Genomic DNA, 16375 nt, shown 5'->3' with positions numbered 1-16375 from the left:
TTTTCCCATTGGAGAAGACTTTCTTTTCTTGGAGCCTTATCTGGAGGATGGTGACTTTATGAAACTCTGTTTTGGGGAGTGCTATTTTTATGGTTGTTTTTTTAGCATGGTTCATTGTAAAGTTTATTTAGATTTCTAGGTTTGAAGTGGGTGAGGTATATAAGATATCTATTATATTAAGGTAATTGATCCATCTTATAAACATTTCAAAGCAAGTTAAGATTCAGCTGGTAATATTGCTCAATATAAATTCTTGGAAGTGAAAAAAAATAGTATGTCAGGATGAGTTATTTTTGTAGACTTGATTCCAAAGTGACCAAAAGAACTTCATGAAACTACAGTTGCCTTAATCCTTCAAGAAGTCCCTTTTGAAAAATGTTTACGATAAAACTGAGGAATCCCATATTATAGATCTGGTGGTGTCTGCCTTCTTATCTCATCCTGGGATTGTCTTACTCATTATGCATCAGCTACATTGGCCTTCTTTCAGACATCCAAGCTCCTTTCACTAGTTGTTCCCACTGTCTGGGATGTAAATTCCTTGTCACTCGGCTATCACCGTCAAGATCACATTCTTACAACAGCCTTTTTCAGTTACCCAACCTAACAGTCAACTCTCAGCATTTTCATCACATCTCCTTCCCTATTCTTTCTCGCTCTGTCGCCCAGGCTGGAGTGCAGTGGCGCGATCTCGGCTCACTGCAGGCTCTGCCTCCTGGGTTCGCGCCATTCTGCCTCAGCCTCCCGAGTAGCTGGGACTACAGGCGCCGGCCACCGCGCGCGGCTAATTTTTTGTATTTTTAGTAGAGACTACTAAAAATACATCACTGTGTTAGCCAGGATGGTCTCAATCTCCTGACCTCATGATCCGCCCGCCTCGGCCTCCCAAAGTGCTGGGATTACAGGCGTGAGCCACTGCGCCCGGCTCTCCTTCCCTATTCTTACGTGATAGTTTGTTTTCCTTGGTTGCTTACTTATCTTTCTTCATTAGAACATCAAGTTCCATGGGAAGAGAGACTTGGGCTGTCTTCCATGCCTGACAGTAGTAGATGCTTCATAAAAGTTTGCATATGCAAATATGGAAGTTTTCATCCTTTTTGCTATAAAGGATATCTAAGTTTATTATGTGGAAATTTTAAAAAGATACTTTTACATTGAAGATTTTTTTCCAGATGATTAGAGAAATGGAAATAGCTTAACTAGTACAAAGAGCACTGGACAAGAAGTCAAAACAACAGGATTCTTTAATCATTCTGCAACTAATTACATTTGCCTTATAGCAGACCAAATCCCCTAATCTCCTAGTGACTCCATTTCTGCATGTATAAAATGAGAAACAGGGTTAACTTTCCGTATGATATAAGGAGGCAAGTGAGGGCAGCACTGTGCAGGGAGTTTTGGACTCCATTAAAGAGCTTTGTATTTATCCTACAAGCAATAGAAAGCTACTGAAAGGATTTTAACTGAGGTGGGACAGGATATAGGGAAGTGGTGGTGGTGGTATGATTAGGTTTCCTTTTTAGAAAAATTACTGACCGCAGTGTGGAGAACACAAGGAAAGGGGCTAGAATGAACGAGAACAAACCATTTAGGAGATAAATGCAGCCATCCTGGTGAGGGATGGTACTAACTTGGAATAGGGTAATTTTGATGGACATGGAGATGAGCAGATGGATTTCAGTAAGATGGGGAGGTAAAATCAGCAGGATTTGGTGATGGGGACCAAGGAAAGGAAGGTGTCAAGATTAATATCTAGGTTTCTGTCTACACACAACCAGATAACCAGATGGATTCTGGTGTCTTTGCTGTGTTAATGAAACTTGGAGTAGGATCAGAATTCAGGAGGAAGAGCATGTTTTTGGTTTGGGACATGTAGGTACTTTTAAAACACTCAAGAAGAATCATGAAGAAGGTATATGGAGATATATATATATATATGCCTGGAGCTTAGAGGAGCCTGGGTTGCAGATGTGTTTCTGAGTCATTTGCATGTAGCTTTTAATTGATACATATATCATGAATATAAAGTGCTTTGTAGACCATAAAAGGCCATACGTTGTGTTTGTCGTTTCCTAAATTTGTGATGATATTTCAAACCTGGTGATTTTCTGCTTACCTTTTAATAGATAGGTTAGTCATCTCTATAGAACTTTTCTGACTTTCCCTCTTTTGAACTATTTCAGTATTTCACACATAATTATTGTGGTGGTGTTATAGTATACTGTAATTGTTTTGTGCATGTTTATATATGTATCTGTCTGCCTTATTATACTTTGAGATCAGTTGAAGAAAGTAACTGGGTTTAATTCCTGTCACCTGCTTGAGGCCAGGTATCATGTCTATTTTCTTTCCCCTGGTATATCTAGCACTGTAAATGGGGCTTGGCACTATCAACTGATCATACATATTTGAATGTTGAGTGAAATATTTATATCCCTTTGCGCATAGGTGTTTAGTAATTATTTTGTTGTTGTAATTTTTTTTTTTTTTTTAGTAGAGATGGTTTTGCCATGTTGGTCAGGCTGGTCTTGTCCTCCTGACCTCAAGTGATCTGCCCGCCTTGGCCTCCCAAAGTGGTAGGATTACAGGTGTGAGCCACCGTGCCCGGCCTAATTTTTATTGAACAAATGAATTATCCAGGCTTCTGGCAGTTCTTTGGTACTTATTTTATAAACATTATGTAAAATACACATTTTTTTGCTGCCTCTCCTTATATTAGGGTTTAAAACTTTATTTTGGGGGTTTATGGATTCTATATTGTGCAAAGGAGGTCAGTGAACCCTTTGAAAATAAATATAAATTTTTCTGAATATGTGCTTTTGATATTATGATGTAACAAGAAAGATGTATTTGATCCCTGTTTCTGGTTTCTGGCAAACAACTGCTAAAACCCTTGGAATCTCCAGAGAGATAAGAGTGCCTTTTGTATGCTAATGAGATGACTGGGAGCCCCTAGATAGTTTCAGGATGGGGACTGGTCTTCCAGAAAGACCAAGCCATGATTAGAGGGTTGGAACTTTCAGCCCACTCCAGCCTCAGGGGCGGGGAAAGGGGCTGATGGTTGAGTTGATCACCAATGGCCAGTGATGTAAAAAGTCATGCCTATGCAATGTAGCCTCCGTGAAAGCCCCAAAAGGACAGGGTTCAGAGAGCTTCCTGGTTGCTGAACATGTGGAGGCACCTGGAGGATGGTGAACCAGGAGAGGGCAAAAAAGCCCTTCACGCCTTCCCACATTCTTTGCCTTTTGCATCGCTTCGATCTGCAAGCTTGGTAACATCCTTTACAATAAACGAGTAAGCATAGGTAAAGTGTTTCCCTGAGTCCTGTGAGCTGCTCTAGCAAATTAATCATGGGTCATGGGAACCCTGATTTACAGGCAGTTGGTCAGAAGCACAGGTCACAAGCTGGGGCTTGCAGTTGGCATCTGAAGGGTGGGAGTGACAGTCTTATGGGACTGAGTCTGTAGGTCTGTGCGATCTGACACTATCTCCAGGTAGCTAGTGTCAAAAATGAGTTAAATTGTAGGAGACCCAGATGTTGTGTGCTGGAGAATTGCTCTGTAAGTGGGGAAAACCTCTCTGCATTTGGTCACGGAAGTATTTTGTGGTGAGTGTGAGAGTTGGGAAAAGTTTGGTTTTTCCTATCTCACAGAGTGCTTATATGCAATTATAAATAAAAAGAGGGTCCATTGCTTTTCTCAGATTTATTTTTTATTTATTTTTATTCATTTTTTGGAGACAGGGTCTTGCTGTAACAGACAGGCTGGAATATAGTGGCACGAACTTGGCTCACTGCAGCCCCGACTTCCCAGGACTAGGTGATTCTCCCACCTCAGCCTCCCAAATAGTTGGGACTAGAGGTGTGTGCCACCATACCTAATTTTTTTGTATTTTTTGTAGAGAGAGGGTTTCGTCATGTTGCCCAGGCTGGTCTCAACTCCTGGGCTCAAGTGATCCCAAAGTGCTGGGGTTATAGGCGAGAGCCACCACACCCTGCCTCATTAGATTTTTAAAGGGATCCATGACACCAAAATTATTAAGATCAGTGAATTAGATACTTTTGTTCGGGATGACTCCTCTTGGCTTTAAGCAGTTTTTTATCAAAGTTTTGCTATCATCCTATATAAATTACCTTTAGGCTAAAACTAGTTACCTAATCATTTTAGCTATGATTTGTTGACTAGCCATTAAACAGTATAAGGTATTTCATATGGATTTGCATATATGTTAAAGTCTACTTACTTATTTGCATCTACAAATTTCTTAGGAGACTTTCTGTCTTAAATATTGAATAAATTAATATTCAGTATTGGACTCATAGGCTTAAATAAATCTTGTTCAGACTTTTTAACAGAAAAGAGTCTAGATGTAAAGTTTTTAATAATGGTTATTTCTGCATGGTGGAATTATGGGGTATCTCTTTTCATTTATACACTTAAATGTATTCTAGGCTTTCTACACTAAACATACATTACTTTTCAAATTCAAATTTTATATATCTGGAATAGTTACAAATTTCTAATTGATATTAATATGAGAGTCAATGTCAAAACTTGTGATTTCTTTTATGTTGATTTAGAGTTTAACGTTATCCAGTTAGATCTACCAGGTGAAATAACTGATTTGTGTTAAAATGTTTGTTCTCTAGAAACAACTATATTTTGTCTTTTACCATAGATACTTTGGCTTGCTGCTTTCTGAATGGGATGAATGTCTCTTTTTCAAACCAACATAATAACTGACTGTAGAAATTTACTTGTTATAATATATGGTAAACATTAATACCACTCAAAAAATTTACTGCTTCTTTTTAGAAGGCTTTCATTTGATATTATGGGGCTTGCCTTGTAAGTATATGACTGTGGACTCACCAAGATATGTTGATATGTTAATACTTTCTTTTGAAGCAGAGAGGTATCTTTTGTTAAAGGATTAGAGTGGAAAGGACGTGCTGCTTTTCCTGCCACATTGATGACTCAGTGAAAGGCATTGGTGATAACGATGTTTTGCAGTTTAAATATGTATACATCAGCCATTTTATTAACGGTGAATGAAATTACAGAACTTGAGAGAATAGTTTACTATAATGAACTCTCATGAACCTGTAACTCAGCTTTAACAGTTATTAACCTGTGGCCAATCTTGTTTTATCTATACTCACAAACCCCTGATTGATTTAAAAAAATTAATATTTGTTAGTATTAATCATGCAATAGGCTGGCCGGGCACAGTGGCTCACACCTGTAATCCTAGCACTTTGGGAGGCCGACGTGGGCAGATCACTTGAGGTCAGCAGTTCAAGACTAGCCTGGCCAACATGGCAAAATCCTGTCTCTACTAAAAATACAAAAAAATTAGCCGGGTGTGGGTGGTGTGCACCTGTAATCCCAGCTACTCGGGAGGCTGAACCAGGAGAATAGCTTGAACCTGGGTGGTGGAGGTTGCAGGCTGCAGTGAGCTGATATTGTGCCATTGCAGTCCAGCCTGGGTGACAGAACAAACTCCGTCTCAAAAAAAAAAAAAAAGATAGTATTGTGAGAGATTGCACTTATGTTTTTATTATTATTTTTAATTATACTGGAAACATAAAAATTTACTGTCAACCATTTTAAATTCATGTGTTAAGTATGTTCACATTGTTATGCAACTGATCTTTAAAACTTTATCTTGCAAAATTGAAACTCTATACCCATTAAACAATAGCTCCCCACCTCTGCTCCTGCCACAGCCCTGATATTTACCATTGTTTTCTGTTTCTGTAAATTTGCCTACTTTAGGTACCTCATGTAAGTAAATCATACAGTATTTGTCTTTTTTTGACTGGCTAATTTCATTTAGCATAATGTCTCTCAAGATTCATCTATGTCGTAGCATGTGACAGGATTTCCTTCCTTTTTAAGGCTAAATAGTATTCCATTGTATGCATATGCCACATTTTGTTTATCCATTCAGCCATCAATGGACATTTGGATTATTTCCACTTCTTGGCTATTATAAATAATGCTACTATGAATATGGATATGCAGATATCTCTAGGAGACCCTGCTTTCAACTCATTTGGATATATACCCAGAAGTAGGATGGCTGGATCATATGGTAGTTCTATTTATAATTTTTCGAGGAATCACCATATGTGTTCCATCGTAGTTGGACTATTTTACAATCCCCACAGTGCACAAGGGTTCTAATTTCTACACATTCTTGCTAACACTTGTTCTTTTCTTATTCCTTATTTTGGGATGTTAGCATTCGTAATGAGTGTGAGGTTATATCTCACTGTGGTTTTGATTTGCTTTTTTTTTAATGATTAGTGACATTGAACATATCTTTTTATGCCTGTTGGCTATTTGTATATTATCTTTGTAGAAATTTCTATTCAAGTCCTTTGCCCATTTTAAAATCTTTGTTGTTGTTGTTGTTGAGTCATAGTAATTTAAAAATGTAATTTATGTATTAGCCCCTTATTAGATATATGATTTGCAAATATTTCTGCGCATTCTGTAGGTTGCCTTTTTATTCTGTTGATTGTTTCTTTTGCTGCACAGAAGTTTGATATAGTTTCATTGATCTATTTTTGCTTTTGTAGCTGAGCTTTTGGTGTCACATCCAGGAAATCATTGCCAAATCCAATTTACGAAGTTTTCTCCTGTGTTTTCTTCTAGGAGTTTTATAGTTTGGGGTCTTATGTTTAGGTCTTCAATCAATTTTGAGTCATTTTTTGCATCTGATGTAAGATAAAGGTCCAACTTTGTTCTTTTGCATGTGGCTATCCAGTTTTCCCAACACTGTTGAGGAGATTGTTCTTTCTCTATTGAGTGCTCTTGGCACCTTGTTGAAGATCATTTGACTATTACATGAGGGTTTATCTGTGGGCTGTTTACTTTATTCCACTGGTCTATATGTCTGTCTTTATGCCATTATGACACTGTTTTGATTACTATAGCTTCATAATATGCTTTGAAATCAGGAAGTGTGAGGTCTTCAACTTTCTTTTTCCTTTTCAAGACTGCCTATTTGAAGTCCCTTGAGATTCCATGTGAATGTTAGGATTTACTTTTCTATTTCTGCAAAAATGCCATTGGGATTTTGATAGGGATTGCACTGATCTCTGGATTGCCTTGGGTGGTATTGACATCTTAACGGTATTCAGTTTTCCAAATTTGTGAACCTGGGATGTCTTTAGATTTGTCACTTCTTTAATTTCAAAAATGTTTTGTCATTTTTAGTGTACAAATTTTTCACCTAATTGACTAGGCTTATTCCTAAGTATTTTATTATTTTTGAAGGTATTGTAAATGGAATTGTTTAATTTTGTCTTGGATTGTTCATTGTTATTATATAGAAATGCAACTGATTTTTGTGTACTCTCTCCCACACCTTTGCTGAATTTATTCTAACAGGTTTTTGTTTTGTTTGTGTGTATGAGTATGTTTGTATCTGTAATCTTTAGAGTTTTTTTTTTTTTTTTTTAACAAATAAGATCATTGCATTTGAGAACAGAGATGATTTCAACTTCTTCCTTTCTGATTTGGATGTCTTTTATTTCTTTTTCCTGCCTAATTTCTCTGAGTAGGCCTTCCAGTTCTATGCTAATAGAAATGGCCAGAGCAGCATCTTTGTCTTCTGCCTGATCTTAGAGGAAAAGCTTTCAGTTTTCCATAGTTGAGTATAATGTTAGCAGTGGGCTTTTCATATATGGTCTTTATTGTGTTGAGGCAGTTTCCTTCTAGTCACAGTTTTTTGGGTATTTTTACCATGAAAGGATGTTGAGTCTTGTCAAATGCTTTTTCTATATCAACTTATATGATCATTGTGATTTTTGTCCTTTATTCTATTAAGGTGGTATATTACAATGAATTTCATATATTGAAACGTCCTTGCATTCCAGGAATAAAGATTATACAGTTGATCATGGTGTATAATCTTTTAAATGTGCTATTAGATTAGGTTTGCCCTCTGATTGTTTTGATTATTTTTGAAGCAAATACCAGGCATCTTATCACTTGATTCATTTGATCTAAAAATATTTCAGTATGTATTTTTAAAACATGGGGATTTTCAGAAATAATTATAAGATTATCACATCAGAAATCTCAGTTTACTATAATTCTTTAATGCCATCCAATATCCAGTCAGTAGTCATATTTTCTCAATTGTTTTATTTTTATAAATATAGTTTGTTTAATCAGGGTACTTAAGTTCTGTGACTTATGATTGCTTGATAGGTTTCTGAAGTCACTTTTAATTTATAGGTTAAATTCTGTCTTTTTAATCTTGCCGTATTTTGTTTAAGAAACCATGGTTTACTCGATGGTAGATCTTTCTGTTTGCATCCTGTGATGCAATCTTTGTGATATAGTTTATTATATTTCTCTGTCCCCTGTATTTCTTGTAAATTGTTACTTCTAGAGGTTTGGTTGGATTTTTATTTTTTTATTTTATTTTATTTTTTTGAGATGGAGTTTCGCTCTTGTTGCCCAAGTTGGGGTGCAATGCTGCGATCTTGGCTCACTGCAACCTCCGCCTGCCGGGTTCAAGCGATTTTCCTTCCTCAGCCTCTGGAGTAGCTGGGATTACAGGCATGCATCACCATGCCTGGCTAATTTTGTATTTTTAATAGAGACGGGGTTTCTCTACTAAACCCCATTGGTCAGGCTGGTCTCGAGCTCCTGACCTCAGGTGATCCGCCTGCTTTGGCCTCTCAAAGTTCTGGGATTACAGACGTGAGCCACCGCACCCAGCCACTTCTTTGTTAATTTTTTAAAGAGTGTTTTTCTGATTAGTGATATTAAAGCAAACTAAATATGCCTTGAGAAGGACTCTGTACTTCTATATTTGAGTCCTTGTGGATGAACCATAACCTAACTTAATAGATAGGCAAGATTGAAAACCTAATTTAGGAGTATGCGCCCGTAACAATAGCTGAGTCTTGGCCAATCCCAGCAGTCACATACTTCAACCACTCATACACTGCTGAGTGTTCAAACTGTATTCAAATACGACAAACGCCATCCTGTAACCAATCCAGCTATTTCTGTACCTCCCTTCTGATTTCTACACATCACTTCCCTTTTTAATCTATAAATTTGTTTTGACCACAAGGCATCCCTGGGGTCTCTCTGAATCTGCTGTGATTTTGTGGGCTGCCTGATTTCTGAATGGTTCATTGCTCAATTAAACAACTTTAAATTTAATTCAGCTGAAGTTTTTCTTTTAAGAGTAACTCTGACCCAGGAGCAGGAGCACCTGTGACTCTCGCCAGTGCCTACCATTTTTGGGCATAAACATCTACCATGCATGGTGCTGAGATCATTCATATCTATTAGCTATTTGATTTTACACATATAGGTTCTCTATTGTTATCCTTGCTTTGTAGTTGAGAGCACTGGTGCCTAGAAAGTATAAATAAATTATCCTACTAGTATACATACAGCAGGTAGACTTTTGAGTCAGGCAAAATTCTGAAGAACATGTGTTTTAACTAAAGTGCTTTTTGAGGAGTCCAGTGGATTTGTAGGCTGGTAAAGAAAGACTTGCGGTGTGGGATGTGCAGGAGTATGTGTGAAGAAGGATCTTTTATCGACCATGAGCAGTAGGATCTGTTTGCTCAGTTGCAATCAGCTGAACCACTCATGGGCTAACTGCCCTCATCTCAGGTCAATAGATACTTGTTATCTGAATGTGGATAGTTTACTGGGGAACAATGTTGCTGGTAAATGTGTGTTACAGATCTAGCCTATTTAACAATTTAGTCCAAGAGGAAAGAGGATTCATGAAGCAGATGTGGATTCTGGTTCTTAAGATGGGTGAGAATCTAGTGACTGACTACCAAGTTACTTATTGAAAAATTAGTTTTATAGTTTCAAACCAGACACAGAAGAAACCTTAGATATAGTCAAATTAGAGGGGAGCTGAGGAGACAGGCAGTAAGCTAATAAACAGATAAACATCTGATGTAATGGCAGATACTGATGAGCTCCCTGCAGAAAAGTAAAACGGTGCAAGGATAAAGAGTGGTGGGGTAGAGTGGGACACGGGGCCGTTTAGATGTAGAGGTCTGAGAAGCCCTCTCTGAGGAAGTGACATTGGAGAAGAACCTGAAAGTAGGGGAGGGAAGAACCTTATAGGTACAGGGGACAGCAAAGGTGGGAATTTGCGTAGGGCTCTTGGGAAATAGCTATGAAGGAAGGTGTGAAAGCAGGCACAGAAGATTAAGCCACAGAGGCTGGGGAGGTGGCAGGCAGCTCAGGACATCCATAATACTAGGACACACAATCCTATCTCCTGAACATGGGCCGCTCCTTATATGGCTTTAGTTATTTGTTACTGTTTTCCCTCTTCCTTCGCCTTTGCTGTCCTATTTCTAGAAAGAATGTGCTTGCTTTGTTACCCAAAGGACAAGGTCTGAGTTCTAACAAAGATTTCCTCAAAGAATGGTGACACAGACTGGGCGGAGTCTCTGGGTTTAGCCAAATGAATCCATTGTGATATCTCGTGGTTTGGGGGAAAAAACAATCATTGTTTCAAAAATGAGATATGGTATATGACCCTTATATATTTTATAATTAGAATATGGGCCTAATGTTGTAAATTTAGTAGGAAACAGATTTCTTGTGGAAGTACATAGCAGAATTTTTAACTGGCAGCATGATCTATAATATAGCAGCTACTTCCTTCCTGTAAACACTTGTGTTGGAATGTTTTGCATTCCCATGAAACAATTTTCACAAATGTGTCTTTTTAGAGGAAGTGTAAATTATTCTCATGCTATTGTGGTAATGAGAACATGGTTAAAAAACAACAACAACAGCCACCACAAAAAAACCACCCTGAATTTGCACCGGCCTTGGTAATGTAAGAAATGTTGATACAAGTATGCTATCGTAGAGAATGCAGAGAAGTTATCTGCTTTGTCCCCAAATGGAGATTTTTTTAATAGTCTAGCTCGTTGTCTAATGTGTATTTGCCTCCTTTAGTGTTTAACCAGTTTTTTTTTTCATCCAGTGAATCCAGGTAATTTGACTTTTCACTGATAAAATATTTACTTGTTATATTAGGCAGGGTGCTAAACTTGGAAACTAAAAGTACAGAGTTAAATTTAAAATTTGTTGAAAAGTATGCATCACTATGTATTCTATTTAATGTTTTGGCAGTGCCTCTGGCTCTTCTCATTTAACATGCTAGGAGACAGACTGGCAGCAGTTGTAAGCTGAAACCTGGTTGTATGCAGAGAGACTGATAGGGGTACAAAATAAAATGGAGAAAATTTGAAAGTGTTACTGTGTGTGCGTTTCCTTAAATTAAAATGTGACACGTTTGCTTAAAATAGAATTTTATATTCTGTTTGTCAGGGCTATTATAACTTCATGTTAGATGATCCTAAGACTGAAACTGGTTTTAAATATTGTTCTGTGGAATAACCAAATTTGTCTCTTAAAATGTTGTCATTATGTCACACAATTGGTTTTTATATAATAAGCATGTTTTACAATATGTTTGAGTCATTTTCCCCAGTAGACCTGAAATTTATTACTCAGAGGAAAAGCATGCATTTACAATATATTCTTAGCTGCTCCTTTCTATCATTCAGCTGTCAAGTCCTATGGAATCTAAAGTAGAACTCAACCAATGGGAGACAGGCTCCACGCTGTTTACCGGACAATTCGGATGTGGACAGTTTTATCATGCACTGCAGCGTCTGTGTTGCAGTGTTGAGGCAGCAGGATGCAGAGTGCTGTTCAAGTTTTCCAGTGGGGTCCCTCAAAGGGACAACTTTGAAAGATAGCTAGCTTCCAAAGAATAAGAAATAGATAGAGTTACTGTACCTGACTTGGGGCTGCTCTTAATCAAGTTCTGCATTGCAAGGAAGATAATATTCGAGCGTTATGAAGGCGGAGAAGGATCCTGAAGACGAAGAAAATATCGTTAGAGATCCAAGCTAAGTGTAGCACAGCATGTGAGGGACTGAGTCACTTGTCAGGAGTTTGTCTGAGAGTTTGCTTTGTGAGCTTACAGAGATTTGTAACTTAATGCAAAGTAGTTTGCCATTAGCAACAAGAAACTAAATCCTGTCTATGATGAACTGTTGGTTTTCTTGTACTCCTAAGAACAGAGTAGGTATCCCAGTAGTCTAGTGTAACAAAAGATTCTTGGTTAGACTTTCTGAACTGTGTTCTTTTAAAATGCACTACTGTTTTATTAATTTGGTTTGCTTTATTGTTTTCTTCTTGATTAAGTTGATTAGCAGATTGGGGTTAGTAATAGTAAACAAAAGTTCTTTCTTTCTCTGGGTTTAAAAAGCACATGATAAAATCTTAATAATTGTACAGTGTTACTGTTAACTGACAGTGAATCAGAGCTGAAAATGGTGCTTGGTGTAGAACTGAAAATCATATGATAATGTGAGACTTTAATCACATTTAATTATCTTTAAAGAAAGCCTTATTTTTGGATTTTTACAACTTTGTGGTGATTTAAATGGCTCTTTTTTCCACCAGCAAGTTTACTTGGAAATAAACTGGAGATTGTTTTAATTGTAAGGATAGACTAATCAAATCTAGAACAAGCATTTGTGTGTTAAACATGATTTAATCCTTTAGGCATTTGAAAACACAATGTCTTGTAAGCTTATGTCCACGACCACTCCCCAAATTAGAGTCAGTAAACTGTTTTGTTTTTGTTTTAAAGCTTAAGAAAGGTGATGCGTAAAATGTAGCTTAGACTTGGAGCCCATAGGTAGGGTTATTCTGTACTCATAGTTGGCAGTTTAAACTTTTGAAGTTAGGAGGAAGTAGGTTCATCACCAAATTTAAGTAATTTAGAGACAATTCTGAAATCTGTGTAGGTACTTGAACCAGGTTCCATTAAAATATTAAATTTCAGAAGTGAGTTAAAATTTTAATGTATTTGTCTTTTTTTCATATTCAGTTTTCATATTCATTTTCTACATCAAGTATTTAATTTTACATTACTTGTTTAACAAGAAAGTTAGTGATGGTGATTTTTTTTAACTTTTCTTTTTTGGTTTATAGGGAATAGTAGATATAAAATTATATTGATCAAACATGTAGAGGATATACAGGTGATTCAGTTTTTTTCTCAGATTTGTTAGGGTATTTGTGGCCATAGGATTCATTTTGTAAGTTAAGTGAAAAATATCCAGATCTTTTTTTGTTCTAGAAATAATACTGGATTTAGCACAGAATTTACTAGTAAATTGGTATAATATTTTAAAAGGCTAAAATCTCACCTGTTTAAGTAACATGTATTTTAGTTCTATCTTCTGACATTTATGCTTATTGAGAAAAGATCTAGGTTATTGGCTTCAGAATACCTTGAATGTATTTTCTCTAAAGTTAGAGGTAACCTTGATACGATTAAAATGTATGTTATATGAGACATCCTTCTTAAAACCCCCACCTTTAATCTAAATACACATACACAGAATTTTTATTAAAATAAAAAACATTTTTTATAAAAACAATACATGTGGAATGTAAAAAGGGAGAAAATGAAAGTAACTTGTAATCTTAATATTTTTAGATGTTAAGCAGTTAATACTTTAGAGTCTGTCATTTTTAGTTTTTTCTATGTAAAAGTTTTATTTTATTCTAATATATAAACATAATGAATTGCTTTCTGTATAGAATGTGTGTGTGTGTGTGTGTGTGTATATATATATATATATACAATTTGCCTCCATAAATATATTTCCAACAGTACTTTTTAAATAAATGTCTGTGTTGGGGGGGGGTAGTTTCTTAAAATGTATGTAGAATTCCACTGCATCTAAGAGTCCTAGGAGCTATGTAACCAGAGCCAAATCTAAAAGTGTGATTTGAAATCTGAAAGGGTATGGGAAAAGCACACTGATTTTGGAACTATAGAAGTCATGGTTGGGCTTTTGAACACTTAAGACATTTACTGTCTCTGGGGCCTTGGCTTTTCTTATCTGCTAAATGGAGATGATAATTTTAGTTTACTAGGGTTGATTGGGACTTTAGTGCCTGGTACAGGGTAGGTGTTCAGTAGTTATTGATTTCCTTTTTTGCCTCAAAGGCAAAGAGAACTGGACAGAGAACAAAAGAAACATGCTTTCCCTCAAAAGTATAATTTTAAATGTTTCTTGTATATCATGTGTTTTGGGAAGATTTTATAACTCTGCTCTCCTAATGAAGTTAGCACAGAAGGGAGAAGGAAATTTGGAATGCAACTGGAAAATAAGTGATGTATTATGCAGTACTGCTTTCCTTTCTCTCTTTTTTCTTTCTTTAGAAAAATCTTAACTAATGTAGTATGCCATATTTACTTTTTTTTTTCCTTTTTGTAGCATGCAGCAGATTGGAATAAATATGATGACCGATTGATGAAAGCAGCAGAAAGGGGGGATGTAGAAAAAGTGACCTCAATCCTTGCTAAAAAGGGGGTCAATCCAGGCAAACTAGATGTGGAAGGCAGATCTGTGTAAGTATTATTGATGATAAAAGCATGTCTGAAGGGAATTTGGATAGTCTTGGGATACAAATGAAACTTGTGAATTGTAGTTATCAACTTACTTATTAAGAAATTCTGCCAAAACCTGCACTATAAAATCTTTCAAACAAACTAATAATTGTTCTCAATTTAAAATATTTCCAGTCTAGAGAGGGAACACTAGAATACTATCCAGTGGTCTAGAATTGTTTAGGCCCAGTGGCAAACCACAGCCTGTGGTTATTTGGTGCATTTTCATTATAAGCCTTTTTATATTCCTTATCATATTTGCTCTTTGAAGCAGCCTGATAAAAGAAGTGGGAAAAAGTTTGCAGAGGTTAAATACTTTGGTCTCATTTCAGGTAAAGTCACAGAGCTGGAATGTGAACCCAAGCTTTGTGTCTTCGAAGAGTTCTGTAAATTACCCTGTCTTTTCTCCCAACCCCCAATCCATTTTTATACTTGGGTAATTCACTTAAATGAGAATGCTTAGAGCAGAAAGGAGGCAGGATAACTACTGTGGCTTAGGGAGATACAGGTAATAATCCCACCCTTTTGTTTTTTTGTTACTGAGGAGAACTGTTGGCTTGTATATATGCTTATGAACGATGTGTCTGTCTTCTCCCCTTCCCCGTCTCAAATCTTCATTATTTTCCTTCTTGTTGTAGGTGGGGAGCAGTTGGGTTAAAGGGTAGATCTAGTCCCTGTTATGACCCTCTATACTTATAGCATTTAAAACCTTATCTGGGAACCCTTTCAAAGTTAGAGGTGAAAAGTCTCATTTCCTAAAATTCTTCTCAGTCTTTACTTGCATGAATTTATTCAGAATATTATAACTGGAAACCAGATACTAAATATAGAAATGAATATTAGGAAGTGAATAGTTAATGTGTGATGTGGGTCACTGCCTTGGAATGCTTAGGTATTAAATATAGTAAAGATAACAGCAGGACTATAAATTAAGTAGTTTTTAAGAGCAATAAAGTTGGAAAAGTTTCAAGTTCATAATGTTTCACTTTTATCAAGTAGCAGTTTGATAGCTATGGAAACACTGGTTATTTTGAATCTTGCCCCATTACTGAATTTTAAGCTATTTATAGGGCTCACAGCATAAATTGTGAAAATTTAATATCCAAAAGTGATATTGTTCTTCATGTTTCTTTTTTCTCAAATGCTAAGATGTTAAAAGATGAAGTGAATCTTTTTTGGGATGGAACTTTTCAGTGAAACCTATATCACTGAAATCAGTTCTGCCCATTCATACTTCGAATGTTTTGAGTGACTGGTGGCTTGAGTTTTTGTTTGGAGTTCTTGATATAAGGTTCAATTTTGAGTGACATTAAATAGTCAGTTATAGTGGTGTAATTTGATGAACTGTGAACTTTAGTTTTTGAACTATTTGAGGAGTGTTAGTCTTGAAGTTTTCATCATAGAGAGTAGAATTTTTTTTATTTTTTTATTTTTTTGAGACAGAGTTTCGCTCTTGTTGCCCAGGCTGGTTGTGCAATGGCACAATCTTGGCTCACTGCAACCTCTGTCTCCCGGGTTCAAGCGATTCTCCTGCCTCAGCCTCCTGAGTAGCTGGGATTGCAGGAATGCACCACCACCCCTGGCTAATTTTGTATTTTTAGCAGAAACGGGGTTTCTTCATGTTGGTCAGGCTGGTCTTGGACTCCCGACCTCTGGTGATGTGCCCACCTCAGCCTCCCAAAGTACTGGGATTACAGGCGTGAGCCACTGTGCCCGGCCAAGAGTAGAATTCTTTCTAGGATTCATAGAATAAAGTATTTCCCTTTTTTTACTCACACACAAACTGTATTCTTAATTAAAGCATGTTGTATTTAGTCAAGTGTGGGACATGTTACAAATATATTTTCTGTATTTACAATTACAAAAACAATTT

General features: G+C 36.6%; 1 protein-coding gene across 7 annotated transcripts in view, besides 2 other annotated features; it reads left to right on the top strand.

Annotated features, from left to right (window-relative positions):
• Positions 1-16375, top strand: part of UACA (uveal autoantigen with coiled-coil domains and ankyrin repeats) — a 124350-nt gene that overhangs the window by 64914 nt on the left and 43061 nt on the right. For 3 of the 7 annotated variants that reach the window (XM_017022395.2, XM_017022394.3, NM_018003.4), the window contains exon 2: positions 14330-14463. In XM_017022395.2, coding sequence (XP_016877884.1) covers positions 14330-14463 — 134 coding nt within the window. Of the gene's footprint in view, positions 1-11707; positions 12114-13715; positions 14229-14329; positions 14464-16375 lie in introns of those variants that run through there. The other 4 variants (XM_005254529.5, NM_001008224.3, XM_011521753.3 and 1 more) reach the window with 2 other exon arrangements.
• Positions 195-734: an enhancer, noted in NCBI's record as "H3K4me1 hESC enhancer chr15:71005595-71006134 (GRCh37/hg19 assembly coordinates)". NCBI's record gives its function as "activates a minimal SCP1, AML or CMV promoter by ChIP-STARR-seq in naive H9 embryonic stem cells {active_cell/tissue: H9 hESC(naive)}" and the evidence as "EXISTENCE:reporter gene assay evidence [ECO:0000049][PMID:30033119]".
• Positions 3259-3759: an enhancer, noted in NCBI's record as "H3K27ac hESC enhancer chr15:71002570-71003070 (GRCh37/hg19 assembly coordinates)". NCBI's record gives its function as "activates a minimal SCP1, AML or CMV promoter by ChIP-STARR-seq in naive H9 embryonic stem cells {active_cell/tissue: H9 hESC(naive)}" and the evidence as "EXISTENCE:reporter gene assay evidence [ECO:0000049][PMID:30033119]".

Source organism: Homo sapiens, chromosome 15, assembly GCF_000001405.40.
Source record: "Homo sapiens chromosome 15, GRCh38.p14 Primary Assembly".
Lineage (NCBI taxonomy): Eukaryota > Metazoa > Chordata > Mammalia > Primates > Hominidae > Homo > Homo sapiens.
This window is presented reverse-complemented; position numbering and strand designations above follow the sequence as displayed.